This window comes from Homo sapiens, chromosome 14, assembly GCF_000001405.40.
Source record: "Homo sapiens chromosome 14, GRCh38.p14 Primary Assembly".
Classification (NCBI taxonomy): domain Eukaryota; kingdom Metazoa; phylum Chordata; class Mammalia; order Primates; family Hominidae; genus Homo; species Homo sapiens.
The window spans coordinates 35,144,941-35,159,316 of NC_000014.9; the positions used below are offsets into that span (position 1 = coordinate 35,144,941).

The 14,376-nt window shown below is 42.0% G+C and overlaps 1 protein-coding gene, 1 long non-coding RNA gene and 1 pseudogene across 10 annotated transcripts in view, besides 1 other annotated feature; 2 read left to right on the forward strand and 1 right to left on the reverse strand.

Moving 5' to 3' along the window:
- The window catches only part of PRORP-PSMA6 (PRORP-PSMA6 readthrough), a 195,633-nt gene that overhangs the window by 23,102 nt on the left and 158,155 nt on the right, over positions 1-14,376 (forward strand). The gene's annotated exons all lie outside the window — the stretch shown is intronic.
- Positions 1-14,376, forward strand: part of PRORP (protein only RNase P catalytic subunit) — a 155,784-nt gene that overhangs the window by 23,102 nt on the left and 118,306 nt on the right. The gene's annotated exons all lie outside the window — the stretch shown is intronic.
- Positions 7,945-8,446: an enhancer, noted in NCBI's record as "H3K27ac hESC enhancer chr14:35622091-35622592 (GRCh37/hg19 assembly coordinates)". NCBI's record gives its function as "activates a minimal SCP1, AML or CMV promoter by ChIP-STARR-seq in primed H9 embryonic stem cells {active_cell/tissue: H9 hESC(primed)}" and the evidence as "EXISTENCE:reporter gene assay evidence [ECO:0000049][PMID:30033119]".
- Positions 12,748-14,159, reverse strand: SEPTIN7P1 (septin 7 pseudogene 1; annotated as a pseudogene).

Consider the following 14,376-nt stretch of genomic DNA (forward strand, 5'->3'; position numbering starts at 1 on the left):
TCAGTATATTTTCTATTAGTTTCTTATGTTCTTTTTTAGTTCTTTTGTTTGTTTTAAGAGACCCTTGTCACCCAAACTAGAGTGCAGTGGCGTGATCATAGCTCATTGCAGCCTCAACCTCCCAGGCTCAAGTGATCCTCTCACCTTAGCCTCTTGAGTAGCTAAGACTACAGGCACACACCACCACGACCAGCTAATTTTTTAATTTTTTGTAGAGATGGGGGATCTCACTTTGTTGCCTGGGCTTGTCGTGAACTCCTGGGCTCAAGTAATCCTCCAACCTTGGCCTCCCAAAGGGCTGGGATTACAGGCGTGAGCTACTGCACCTGGTGCTTTTTTAGTTCTTATTGAGACTTCTTAATCATTTTCTTTTACTTTTCAAAATGGAAGTGGGTTTTATCCTGATTATAATATTTATTAATTATAAAAAATTTCATCAACACCTGTGAAAAGGGGAAAATTTTTTTTTTGGTCAAAATAGCTATAAAGAAAGATAAAAGGCCGGGCGCAGTGGCTCACGCCTGTAATCTCAGCACTTTGGGAGGCCGAGGCAGGCAGATCATAAGGTCAAGAGATCAAGACTATCCTGGCTAACATGGTGAAACCCCGTCTGTACTAAAAATACAAAAATTAGCTGGGCATGGTGGCATGCGTCTGTAGTCCCAGCTACTGAGGAGGCTGAGACAGGAGAATTGCTTGGACCTGGGAGGCGGAGGTTGCAGTGAGCTGAGATCGCGCCACTGCACTCCAGCCTGGCGACAGAGCGAGACTCCATCTCAAAAAAGAAAGAAAGAAGGAAGGAAGGAAGGAAGGAAGGAAACAGCCCACCATGATCCATTCATTTTGAACTTTAATTTTATTTGATTATTTATTTATTTATTTATTTATTTATTTTTTTATTTTTTGAGACAGAGTTTTGTTCTTGTTGCCCAGGCTAGAGTGCAATGGCACCGTCTCGGCTCACTGCAACCTCCGCCTCCCGGGTTCAAGCGATTCTCCTGCCTCAGCCTCCCAAGTAGCTGGGATTACAGGCGCCTGCCACCACACCCGGCTAATTTTTTTATATTTTTAGTAAAGAAGGGGTTTCACCATGTTGGCCAGGCTGGTCTCAAACTCCTGACCTCAGGTGATCCGCCCGCCTCGGCCTCCCAAAGTGCTGGGATTACAGGTGTGAGCCGCCGCACTCAGCCCCATTTTGAACTTTTAATGAAACTTTAATCATAATCACAGTCCCCATAATTCTGTGATTTAGAAGTTTTTAAATAAAGCTTTAATGATTTAGGATTCTCCTTTCTGGAAAAGAAAAAAAGGCAGGCAAATTGCCCGTGGTACATTTAATTGAGTTTTTAGGGTTAAGTTTAAAGCAAATCATTTGTCCTGCTTGATAGTATCTCTTCAGTTTATTGACAAAGAGGTGTTTCTCTAAATACAAATTTAAGACAGGACATATGACCCTAATGAAATGTCAGTATAAGAACTTATCTAATTTAGGTCTTTAGGGATTTTTTTTTCTTTATTTGGTTACAAACTGAAAGATGTGAACTGAGCTCTTTATCACAGTCTCCAGAACCTTCTCTTTTCTCTGGGTTTGAAGATCTTGTCATCTCTAAAATGAACTGTGGGTTTTTTTCCCCAGATTTAAATAAATGTTGTGTGGTAAATGGAAAACTTTGTGGGTTTAGTGATTTTTTAAAAATCTGAGAAAGAAATTTAATTATCTGCAAAATATAGTTTTAAACCATGTGTTTTAAAGTACAGGCATACCTTGAAGACATTGCAAGTTTGGTTCTAAGCTTTATCGTAAATATTGCAATAAAGTGAGTCACACAAATTTTTTGGTTACCCAGGTCGTATAAAAGTTATCTTTCCATGGCTGGATATGGTGGCTCACACTTGTAATCCCAGTGCTTTGGGGCCCAGGCAGGAACATTGCTTGAGGCCAGGAGTTCGACACCAGCCCGGGGAACATAGTGAGATCCCATCTCTACAAAAAAATTTTTTTTTTAGTTAGCTCGGCTTGGTGGTGTGTACCTGTAGTCCTAGCTACTTTGGAAGGCTGAGTTTGTAGGATCACTCAAGCCCAGGAGTTCAAGGTTACAATGAGTTGTGATTGTGCCACTGAACTCCAGCCTGGGAGACAGAGTGAGACTCTGCCTCTAAACAACAACAAAACTTATCTTTCCACTATGCTGTAGACTATTAAGTGTGCAATAGCATTATGTCTAAAAAAATATATATAGATACCTTAATTTAAAAATACCTTATTGCTAAAAAATATGCTGGTGGTCATCTGAGCCTTCAGCAAGTTGTAATCTTTTTGCTGATGGCAAGTCTTGCCTTGATGTTGGTGGCTGCTGACTGATCAAAGTGGTGGTGTTTGTTGAAGGCTGGGATAGCTATGACAATTTCTTTATTTTTTTGAGACAGGGTCTCACTCTGTCACCCAGGCTGGAGTGCACTGGCAAGATCATGGCTTACTGTAGCCTCCACTTCTCAGGCTCACATGATCCTCCCACCTCAGCCTCCTGAGTAGCTACAACTACAAGCTCACATGACCATGTCTAGCTAATTTTTTCTAATTTTTTGTCGAGCTGGGGTTTTGCCACATTGCCCAGGCTGGTCTTGAACTCCTGGGCTCAAACGATCCACCCACCTCAGCCTCCCAACATGCTGGGATTACAGGCATGAGCCACTGTGTGGCAATTTCTTAAAATAAGACAATAATGAAGTTTGCCACATAAATTGACTCTTCTTATCACAAAATATTTTTCTGCAGCATGCAGTGCTTTTTGAAAGCATTTTACCACATTAGAACTTTTTTCAAAATTGGAGTCAATCCTCTGAAATCCTGCTGCTGCCTTGTCAACTAAGTTTACGTAATATTCTAAATTCTTTGTTATCATTTTAACAATATTTACAACGTGTCTACTAGGAGTGAGTTTTATTTCAAGAAACCACTTTCTTTGCTAATCCATAAGAAGAAATTCCTAATCCAAGTTTTATTTTGTGATTGAAGCAATTCAGTCACATCTTCAGGCTCCACTTCTAATTCTAGTTCTCTTGCTATTTCCACCATATCTGCAGTTCCTTCTTCCACTGAAATTTTGAATCCCTCCGAGTCATCCATGAGGGTTGGTGTCAACTTCTTCCAAACCTGTTACTGTTGATATTTCAACCTCTTTCCATGAATCACAAATGTTCTTAGTGGCATGTAGATCGGTGAATCCTTTCCAGAAAGTTTTCCGTTGACTTTGCCCAAATCCTTCAGAGCAATCACTGTCTATGACAGCTATAGCCTTACAAAACATGTTTTTCAAATAATAAGACTAGAAAGTCGAATTTACTCTTTTATCCATGGGCTTTAGAATGGATGTTGTGTTGGTAGACATGAAAACAACTTTCATCTCCTTATACATCTCCATAAGAGCTCTTGGGTGACTAAGTGCATTGTCACTGAGCAATAATATTTTGAAGAGTCTTTTTTTTGGAGCAGTAGGTCTCCACAGTGGGCTTGAAATATTCAGTAAACCATGCTGTAGACAGATGTGCTGTTAGCCAGGCTTTGTTCCATTGATAGAGCATAGGCAGAGGAGATTCAGCATAATTGTTAAGGACTCTAAGATTTTTGGAATGGTAAACGGGCATTGACTTCAATAAAGTCACCAGCTGTATTAGCCCATAACAAGAGAGTCAGCCTGTCCCTTGAAGTTTTGAAGTCAAGCATTGACTTCTCTCTAGCTATGAAAATTCTAGATGGCATCTTCTTCCAATAGAAGGGGCTGTTTTGTCTCCACGGAAAATCTGTTGCTTAGTGTAGCCACCTTCATCAGTGATCTTAGATCTTCTGGATAGCTTGCTGCAGCTTCTACATGAGTACTTGCTGCTTCACCTTGCACTTTTTTTGTTTTTTGTGTTGGTTCCACCAGTCTGTGCCCATAACCTCCCAGCAGCCTACATGTTGCACTTTTTAATTTTTTTTTTTTTTTTTTTTTTTTTGAGACGGAGTCTCGCTCTGTGGCCCAGGTGGGAGTGCAGTGGCGCAATCTCGGCTCACTGCAAGCTCCGCCTCCCAGGTTCACGCCATTCTCCTGCCTCAGCCTCCCGAGTAGCTGGGACAACAGGCGCCCGCCACCACGCCCGGCTAATTTTTTTGTATTTTTAGTAGAGATGGGGTTTCACCGTGTTAGCCAGGATGGTCTCGATCTCCTGACCTCGTGATCCGCCCGCCTCGGCCTCCCAAAGTGCTGGGATTACAAGCGTGAGCCACCGCGCCCGGCCTAATTTTTTTTTTTAATACAGTGTCTCATTCTGTCATCCAGGCTGGAGTGTGGTGCTATGATCATAGTCCACTGGGGCCTCGAACTCCTGTGCTCAAGTAATCCTCCCATCTAGGCCTCCCAAGTAGCTAGGACTACAGGCATACCACCATACCTGGATCATTTTTAAATTTTTTGTAGAGATAGGATCTTGCTATGTTGCCCAGACTGGTCTCGAACGCCTGACCTCAAGTGATCCTCTTGCTTCAGCCTCCCAAAGTACTGTGATTACAGGTGTGAGCAACCATGACTGGCACCTTGCATTTTTATGTTATGGGGATTGCTTATTTTCTTAAACCTCTTGAGCCAAATTCTGCTGGCCTCCAACTTTTCTTCTACGGCTTCATCACCTCTGTCAGCCTTTGTGGAATTGAAGCATTCAGGTCTTGCTTTGGCTTAAGAGAATGTTGTGGCTGGTTTGATGTTTCATCCAGACCACCAAAACTTTCTTCATATCAGCAATAAGGCTATTTTGCTTTCTTATCATTTATTTGTTCACTGAAGTAGCACTTCTGATTTCTTTCGAGAACTTTGCATTTGCAAAGTTTGGTACCTAGCTTTTGGCCTATCTTAGCTTTTTTGTTTTGTTTTGTTTTGTTTTTTAAGGCGGGGAGACAGAGTCTCACTCTATCACCCAGGCTGGAGTGCAGCGGCATAATCTCAGTTCACTGCAACCTCTGCCTCCCAGGTTCAGTTGAGCAATCCTCATGCCTCAGCCTCCCGAGTAGCTGGGGATTACAGGCATGTGTCACCACACCGGCTAATTTTTAGTAGAGATGGGGTGTCGCCATGTTTCCCAGGCTGGTCTGGAACTTCTGGCCTCAAGTGATCCGCCTGCCTCGGCCTCCCAAAATGTTGGGATTACAGGCGTGAGCCACCATGCCCAGCCCTGTCTTAGCTTTTGACATGCCTTCCTCACTAAGCTCAGTGATTTCAAGCTTTTGATTTAAAGTGTAAGACCGGAGACTCTTCCTTTCACTTGAACACCTAGAGGCCATCGTAGAATTATTAATTGGCCTAATTTCAGTATTGTTGTGTCTCAGGTAATAGGGAGGCCTGAACAGAGGGAGAAAGATGGGGAAATGGCTGTTGGTGGAGCAATCAGAAGTCACACAACATTTATTGATTAAGTTTACTGTCTTACAGCAGCACGGTTTCTGGTGCCCTAAAACAATTACCATTCAGGTATGTCGGTGCAAGAATTCTGGCCAAAAATGTAAAGCTTCTAGAAAAATCAATGAATTCAGAATTTTAGGAAGGTTAAAAAGTTAAAAGGACAAGCAGGTCACTCCTAGCAGTGGCCTTCCCAATGTCAAATGTTTTCCTTATTTCTTCATTCTTTTTCTTTTATGTAACACTTGACTGAAATTCTACCAGCTGGGATCCAGGCTTTTTTATGAGATTTAGCTTGAAGCAGTGTACTTTCCTCCTAAAGCCTAGCTGAGTTTGGCTTTACAAGGAAATGAAAATTATGTGTGGCTATGGGTGTTTGGCTGCTGCTGTTTTAGAGTTGGGTTGGTGATTTTTCATAGAGAACGTTTTGAGGGGCTGATCTGAGGGGGGTGCTCAAATGGAAAGTTTTGTGTGGAGTAGTGTGCTAGAGACAGAGGGATAAAGTCACCTTTAGGAGGTTGAAACAAGGTGGGAGTGTGCAAAGGAGATACTTGACTTTTCTTGTGCTAAGGGCAAGAGAGTCTTATCTTTCTTACAGCGAGTGATCTTTTCTCTCTCAGATTCAGGTTGGCATTATTACTGTTATACTATAACCCATTGCATCATTTGGCTTGGAAACCAAGCCATTTTTAAATTAATTTTTATTTATGGGAAAAGTGTTGTGAGTTCTTTATAATCATCTACTAAGTGAATTTTTAGAAACAGTATTTGGAAGTGAGGTACGTCCCAGAGTGATACACTTTTAGTGTTATTTTTCTTAAAAGATTCTGCCTAGGATTTTTGATTTAGTTTTTCTATAGCTATTGCTTAAATGTATCGATTTTATTGCTTTTTCATTTGGTCTTCTTAGAGAATAGAATAATGTAAATAAGATACTAGATTAGAAACAGTAATACTGGTGCTGAAGACAGACAGCTTACTTCTGAAGGAAGAGAAAACTACCAGTGTGAAAGAGCAGCAGCTGAGATGTTGAGAATAAGGCCTCTGATCACCACTGAACCAAACTCCCGATCTTTATACACATGTATAGTCTTCCCTATCTCAGTAAATACAACTTTTTCCTTCTAGCTATTCAGGTCAAAAAGGTCAGAATCATCCTTGATTCCCCTCTTTCCTTCATATCCCCATTCTAATCTGCCAGCACTCCCTATTTTCCATCTCTGCTTTATTTTTCTCCATAGCACTTATCTGACATGCTACACACACACATACACACACACACACACACACACACACACACACACACACAGAGCTTTTACTATATATCTTTTCTCTGTATAGAGTGAAAGCACCACAAGGGTAGGGATTTTTAAATGCCTGTTTAGAACACTGTTGTATCCTCATAACTCAGAATAGTGCTTTACATAAAGATGCTCAATTTGTTGAATAAATGAATAATAGTTACCATTTACTGAATTCTTAGTGTCAGGCTAAGATCTTTGTGCTAGGATCTTTGTATCAGTTATCTCTAATTTTTTTTCTTCTTTTTTTTTTGTTAATCCATCTTTTTTTTTTTTTTTTTATTGATCATTCTTGGGTGTTTCTCGCAGAGGGGGATTTGGCAGGGTCATAGGACAATAGTGGAGGGAAGGTCAGCAGATAAACAAGTGAACAAAGGTCTCCGGTTTTCCTAGGCAGAGGACCCTGCGGCCCTCCGCAGTGTCTGTGTCCCTGGGTACTTGAGATTAGGGAGTGGTGATGACTCTCAACGAGCATGCTGCCTTCAAGCATCTGTTTAACAAAGCACATCTTGCACCGCCCTTAATCCATTCAACCCTGAGTGGACACAGCACATGTTTCAGAGAGCACAGGGTTGGGGATAAGGTCATAGATCAACAGCATCCCAAGGCAGAAGAATTTTTCTTAGTACAGAACAAAATGAAGTCTCCCATGTCTGCTTCTTTCTACACAGACACAGCAACAATCTGATTTCTCTATCTTTTCCCCACCTTTCCCCCTTTTCTATTCCACAAAACCGCCATCATCATCATGGCCCGTTCTCAATGAGCTGTTGGGTACACCTCCCAGACGGGATGGTGGCCGGGCAGAGGGGCTCCTCACTTCCCAGAAGGGGCGGCCAGGCAGAGGTGCCTCCCACCTCCCGGATGGGGCAGCGGCCGGGTGGAGGCGCCCCCCACCTCCCTCCCGGACGGGGCGGCTGGCCGGGCGGGGGCTGACCCCCCCACCTCCGCCTCCCTCCCAGACAGGGCGGCTGCCTGGCGGAGACGCTCCTCACTTCCCAGACGGGGCGGCTGCCGGGCGGAGGGGCTCCTCACTTCTCAGACGGGTCGGCCGGGCAGAGACGCTCCTCACCTCCCAGACGGGGTGGCGGCCGGGCAGAGGCGCTCCTCACATCCCAGACGGGGAGGCGGAGCAGAGGCGCTCCCCACATCTCAGACGGTGGGCGGCCGGACAGAGACTATCCTCATTTCCTAGACGGGATGGCGGCTGGGAAGAGGCGCTCCTCACTTCCCAGACTGGGCAGCCGGGCAGAGGGGCTCCTCGCATCCCAGACGATGGGCGGCCAGGCAGAGACGCTCCTCACTTCCCAGACGGGGTGGCGGCCGGGCAGAGGCTGTAATCTCGGCACTTTGGGAGGCCAAGGCAGGCGGCTGGGAGGTGGAGGTTGTAGCTAGCCGAGATCACGCCACTGCACTCCAGCCTGGGCAACATTGAGCACTGAGTGAGCGAGACTCCGTCTCAATCCCGGCACCTCGGGAGGCCGAGGCTGGCGGATCACTCGCGGTTAGGAGTTGGAGACCAGCCCGGCCAACACAGCGAAACCCCGTCTCCACCAAAAAAATACAAAAACCAGTCAGGCGTGGCGGTGCGCGCCTGCAATTGTAGGCACTTGGGAGGCTAAGGCAGGAGAATCAGGCAGGGAGGTTGCAGTGAGCCGAGATGGCAGCAGTACAGTCCAGCTTCAGCTCCGCATCAGAGGGAGACGGTGGAAAGAGAGGGAGAGGGAGACCGTGGGGAGAGAGGGATCTCTAATTTTTGTGACAATCCTACAAGGAAGGCAGCCTCCCCTTTTTTGCTAAACCTCAGAGAGGTTAAGTGACTTGCCAAGCAAGGTTTGTAAGTAACAGAATTAAGATTTGAATGCACATCTGTCTGATTCCCAAATATGAGTTCTATTCATTAAGCTTCCCTGTGTTCATAATGAAAGGGTCACTGAGAAGTTTAATAAGATAGTGTTCAGTGTTCTTCATTTGATGAAGGAAACTGTATACTATATTTCTGACAACAGTTTCCATCTTGGATTATCTTGACTTTAAAAGATTAAAACGAAATAAAATTGGTTGTTTAAAGGAACATGCCTCAGTTATCTGGAACATTTTGGTATATGTAGAGTGCATTATTCCCCCAAACTGCAAAGTAGAAGGGAGTATTATTTGTGTTCTTAGAGAAATTTAAGAGGTCCTCACTCAAGTACTAATTCTGTTTCTTAACTAATTTTAACTTGCTTTTTAAAAAGCAAATGTTTATATAAGGGTTATTATAAGCTAGTCACTGTTATGAGTACTTTATAAATATTAACTAACTTAACATATATCTTTATAATAACCTTGGAAAAGTTACTTCAGCACTTTCGTTCTTTTTCCTGGTCTTTAAACAGAGACAGTTGGACCAGATGATCTCCAAAGCCCACTCCAGCTCTGCAATGTTAAGGCTTTCTAACTAACACATAACACATAGTTATGTGTTAAGAAAAGTTAGATAAGGTCAGCTTTTCCTAGTGGGAACAGAGATGAGAGTGGAGCCCCAAAGACAGTGCACAGTAGAACAGGAAGTTGTGATTTAGGTGAATTAAAAGTGCAGAGTCTGTATGTAGCACAGTGTCAGTTTGGGAGGGAAGGAAGGCAGCATCAAATCGTTGTTGAGGTTTTGATGATGTGAAGCTCTTTAGTCTACCTTTCTCCTTTCCTTAATATCTAAAGGGAGAAATTCCAAGTTGTTATGTCTTGAGCAGAGCACATGACACCTCCTTATTAACCAGCACTACTTTTTAGCTATAGGTTGAAATTTGGCTCGTGGTTCTTCAAGATTTTAAGAAATAGTAAATAGGAGAGTTAAGGATTTGGTATGTGAAAATATCAAACCTGAATCTAGATGCATGAATCTGATCAAGCATCTAGAGCTCACTACTAATTTACTGGAAATACAGGGGGCAGAGGAATATGTTAAATTACACCTCAAGGGTACAATTACCAAATACCATCTGTGGGAAACTGCAAGACAACCCAGTTTCTTCCAATAAATGAATTGCCAAAAAAAAAAAAAAGAGATGGAGCAATGATCTATAGATAAAAGCAATTTGAGATAAAGCAACCATTTGCAGTGTATGGATCATATTGGGCCCTTAGTTCCTGATTTGAACAATCAGAGGAATCTGAACACCAGTTATTGGAGTTATTAAGACATTTTTGTTGATTTTTATTTAGGGTTAATAATGCTAGTGAGTTAAAACTCTTTTTTTTTTGAGGCAGGGTCTCAATCTGTTACCCAGGCTGGAGTGCAGTGGCACAATCACAGCTCACCACAGCCTCAACCTCCCGGGCTCAGGTGATCATCCCACCTCAGCCTCCTGAGTAGCTAGGACTACAGGTGCCTGCCACCACATCAGCTAAGTTTTGTACTTTTTGTAGAGAGGGGGTTTCACCATGTTGCCCAGGCTGGTCTCGAACTCGTGGGCTCAAGTGATTTCCCATTTTGGCCTCCCAAAGTGCTGGGATTACAGGCGTGAGCCACCATGCCTGACCCAAACTCTTTAGATTCAGAGCTAAACACTGAAATATTTATGGATTAAATGATGTGATGTCTGAGATATGCTTCAAAAATAACTGGGAAATAGGGGATGGAATAGATGGAGTTATATATGAAACAAGATTGGTCATGAGATGATAAAGCTAGTTTATGGGTTCATGGGGATTTATTATACTATTCTGTCTACTTTTATATATGTTTAAGATTTTCATCTTGAAAATCTTTTTTTATAAGCTAACAAAGGGCCAGCTGTGGTGGCTCACAACTGTAATCCCAGCACTTCGGGAAGCTGAGGTGGGAGGATTGCTTGAGCCCAGGAGTTTAAGACAAGCCTGGGCAACATAGCGAGACCTGGTGTCTATTTAAAAAAAAAAAAAAAAAAAAAAGCTGACAAATACACATATGCTTTCAGGATAGAAGTTATGAAAAGGGAGATTATAAAACAGTGCTTTCTTAGTGATTTTCATGCAGAAGCAACATCTTCCTAATCTTCCTATAGTAAAGATTTCCTCAAGTAAACATATTATATATTCATTATAATATAAATAGTATATATTCATTAGAAAGGATATAAACAGTTCAGAAATACCACTATAGAGAATGAAAGTCCCCTTCTTAAAGCAAATTATACTTTTTAAATGCTGAAAATTGTCATGTCATTTGCACGTTTCTTTTTCCATTTTTGAAACGCACAAGATAAAATTTCTTAATAGAGTAGAACAACTAATTTAGATTCAGAGTCAATTCTATAAAGGTTTCCTACTGTACTGCATTGTTTTTGCTTTGCAAAGAGGTTATTAACATTTTTTTTCTGGGTTAGGGGAGGAGTTTGAAAAAATCCTGTACAAGTTAATCCATTGTGTGGTAAAAGCTATAGCTGAAGAGGCAATGTGGAATACTCCAGTGTGCACAACCCCTGCTTTTATCATAGGTGGCAACTGCAGATTAATTCTGGTGTGGTTAGGCATTTCACAAAGGGAAATATGAACCTGAGAGCCTATGTCCCCAACAGTGCTAACTGGGAGATGTGGAGTGTGGGGATTTCCACTCTTTGTTAATAAGATCTCCGGCACATTTCCTCTTTGCTTTTGCATTTTCCTTGGTTATGAAGCAGCTGCAGAGAAGTAAAATGTGATTTCCTGTGTTTAAAAGAGTGCTGGCTTTTCTTTCAGAGACTTAAAATTGGAAGGGTGGAATGCATATGGATTGAGCTACCTACAGGGCTAATTTAAACATAGGTGTTTTATTTTTGTTTTTGTTTTTGTTTTTGTAATGAGTTCACTGCATTTGTGCCAGGAATATTTTTGTTCAGATGTTTTGAATTAGCAGATAACTCAGGTTGTCTCAAAAGCAGGCTTCTCTCTAGGCTGATCACTGCTTTAACAGTGTGATTCTTTGCAAGCTGACTGAAAAACCACTAATGGCAAAAGTGCATTCTGTCATATCAATAAAAATACTGTAGTTCCTTTGCAGATTCATGCAGTATAAATGCTTATCTTGATTATTTAACCTGTAAAATTCTCCAAAATGAGAAAAATAGGCAGAGGGTGTTTTTCAAGAAAATATGATAAGGCCATATCAAGGTACAGTGTCCCCAGATACAATGTCAGTGGGAAATGAAAAGAACTTATTCGCAGAGTAGATGCTTAGGAATCATTAGACTTAGGTGAAAGTTCCTATCATAAATTAATACCTTTTTTTGTAGTCGTTGTCAATATTTCTTGCCCTAATAATGGTAGTTCATTTTTTTCTTTTTTCTTTTCTTTTTTTTTTTTTTGAGACGGAATCTTGCTCTGTCGCCCAGGCGGGAGTGCAGTGGCTCCATCTCGGCTCACTGCAAGCTCCGTCTCCTGGGTTCACGCCATTCTCCTGCCTCAGCCTACCAAATAGCTGGGACTACAGGCGCCCGCCACCACGCCCAGCTAATTTTTTTTATTTTTAGTAGAGATGGGGTTTCACTATGTTAGCCAGGATAGTCTCAATCTCCTGACCTCGTGATCCTCCCGCCTCGGCCTCTCAAAGTGCTGGGATTACAGGCGTGAGCCACCGCGCCCGGACGTTCATTTTTTTCAAAATATACTTAGGAGCCTATCCTAAACATGGGCCAGACCTGTGGATATTTTTGGATGTGGTTTCTTCCCAAGTCATTCACCATTGTGTTGATGGTACAAGGCTTCTCCACTTACAATCAGAGAAACGTCAGATGACTATTAGTAAACAAGAACTGATTATTAAGTACCAGATTAGCAGAGCTGGATGATCAGATCCAAACCACAGCATTCATTGTTCCTGTAAACTATGTGATCAGTGAAGCTAAACTTGTGTTTAAAACCCAGGCACCCGCTGCCACACCCAGCTAATTTTTGTATTTTTAGTAGAGAGAGGGTTTCAGCATGTTGGCCAGGCTGGTCTCGAACTCCTGACCTCAAGTGATCTGCCTGCCTTGGCCTCCCAAAGTGCTGGGATTACAGTGTGAGCCACGGTGCCTGGCCTGTTACTTTCTATTAATAAGTACACAACACCCTAAACAATTCAAGGCATCTTAATCTCCATTAAGAACAACAACAAAATAATTTTTGTCATGCTGTTAAATCTATCACTATGGATAAAACTGGTGCAAATTGGTCAAATGGATCCAACAAACACTGATGTCCAAGTTGGGATATTCGTAACTATTAATAATACGTAACTATTGATCAATAGTTTAAAAGATCTCTTTATTCTTTTTCTTTTTGAAGGTTCTCAAAGAGTTTTGTTCTGAAATATGTTGTTGAGCTTCCCAGTTTGCATCCTCATCCTCAAACTGATGTTGTTTCTTCTCTAATTCTTTGTGTTATGCTTCTTTTTCATTTGCTCATGGCACTGCCATTGGAGCTCAACTTCAGAGTCCTTCAGTTTTTGAACTTTTTTTTTTTACCTTCATTTCAAACACCTGCTCCATTTCCAGCTCCGTCTTCTTCATTTTAGCTACATGCTCCCTTCTTTCTTCTTCCATTTGTGCCAGAAGGCTCTTAGTAAGCCCTTATTTGTTATCAACTCCATTATAAGTCACAACTGCCAGTTTTCTCCTTTCATAGTGGGCATTTAGTAACATCTTTCAAATCGTGCATATGTGTTATCAACATATTTCTTAGAATTGTAAAAACAATGTTCACCATTTTCAACTTTACCAACACCCCAAGGATACTGCCTTCCCCTAACCCTTTTGCCATTAAGTTCAATGATATAGTATTACTACCTACCTAAGCAAGAGGTAAATGGTCCTTCTTCTTTTTAACAAGCTTGTTGTCTTCTTCACCTGTTTCTGGAAATTTATATATTTTAAGTTCTTAGATTTCTTTCATTATCTGTTTTAAAGTTATTATCTGGTTTAATTCCATGTCCTGAAGGAGCAGTGAAGTATAAACCCGGCACCCTGTTATCAGGCATCTGAAATCTGTTCACTTGTGATTCTGCATTTAGGTAGTCCACAGATTTACTATCAATGTAGTTGATGACGAGCTGCCAGCAATTACTATTATCTACTGCATCTCCAAATCCTATTTGGTATCAACTATTGTGAGCAGCAACTTAACACTACCTTCCTTGATTAAAACTTTGGATTGTTCCTCCTGTACAGTCTTTTTAGTAATAATTCTATGAGAAAGACTTGGATATTCTGGAGAATGCAAATCTATGAGGAATCATGAGTTGATTAATGTTGTCTTTCCTGGATTTCCCACCACCGTAAGTGTGAATTCAAACGTTCTCTTCACTGATTCTCTGGATACTTGATTTGGGAGATTGGCAAATCCCACACATTTCCATCATTCCAGTCGTCCAGATTCCAACAGAAGAAATCCACAGAAGAACCACGGTGCTGCTGTTGACGCTCCTCTCCTAATCAGCAGTGGATCTCGCACTCCAGGTCATTCTTTTCAAAACACTGATGTAATCCTATTACTCCCCTGCCTCAAAACCTTCAGCAGTTTCCCATTCCTGCCCTGCAAGTAATTCCTCCAGTTTGGTCGCAGCCTACTTTTCAGGCCTCATTGCTTGCCACTCTCCTCTACAGACACGTGCGTCAGCCAGTGCCAGCTAATTAGTGGCTCTAGACTGCTTTGTGTTTTCTTCCTCTTCT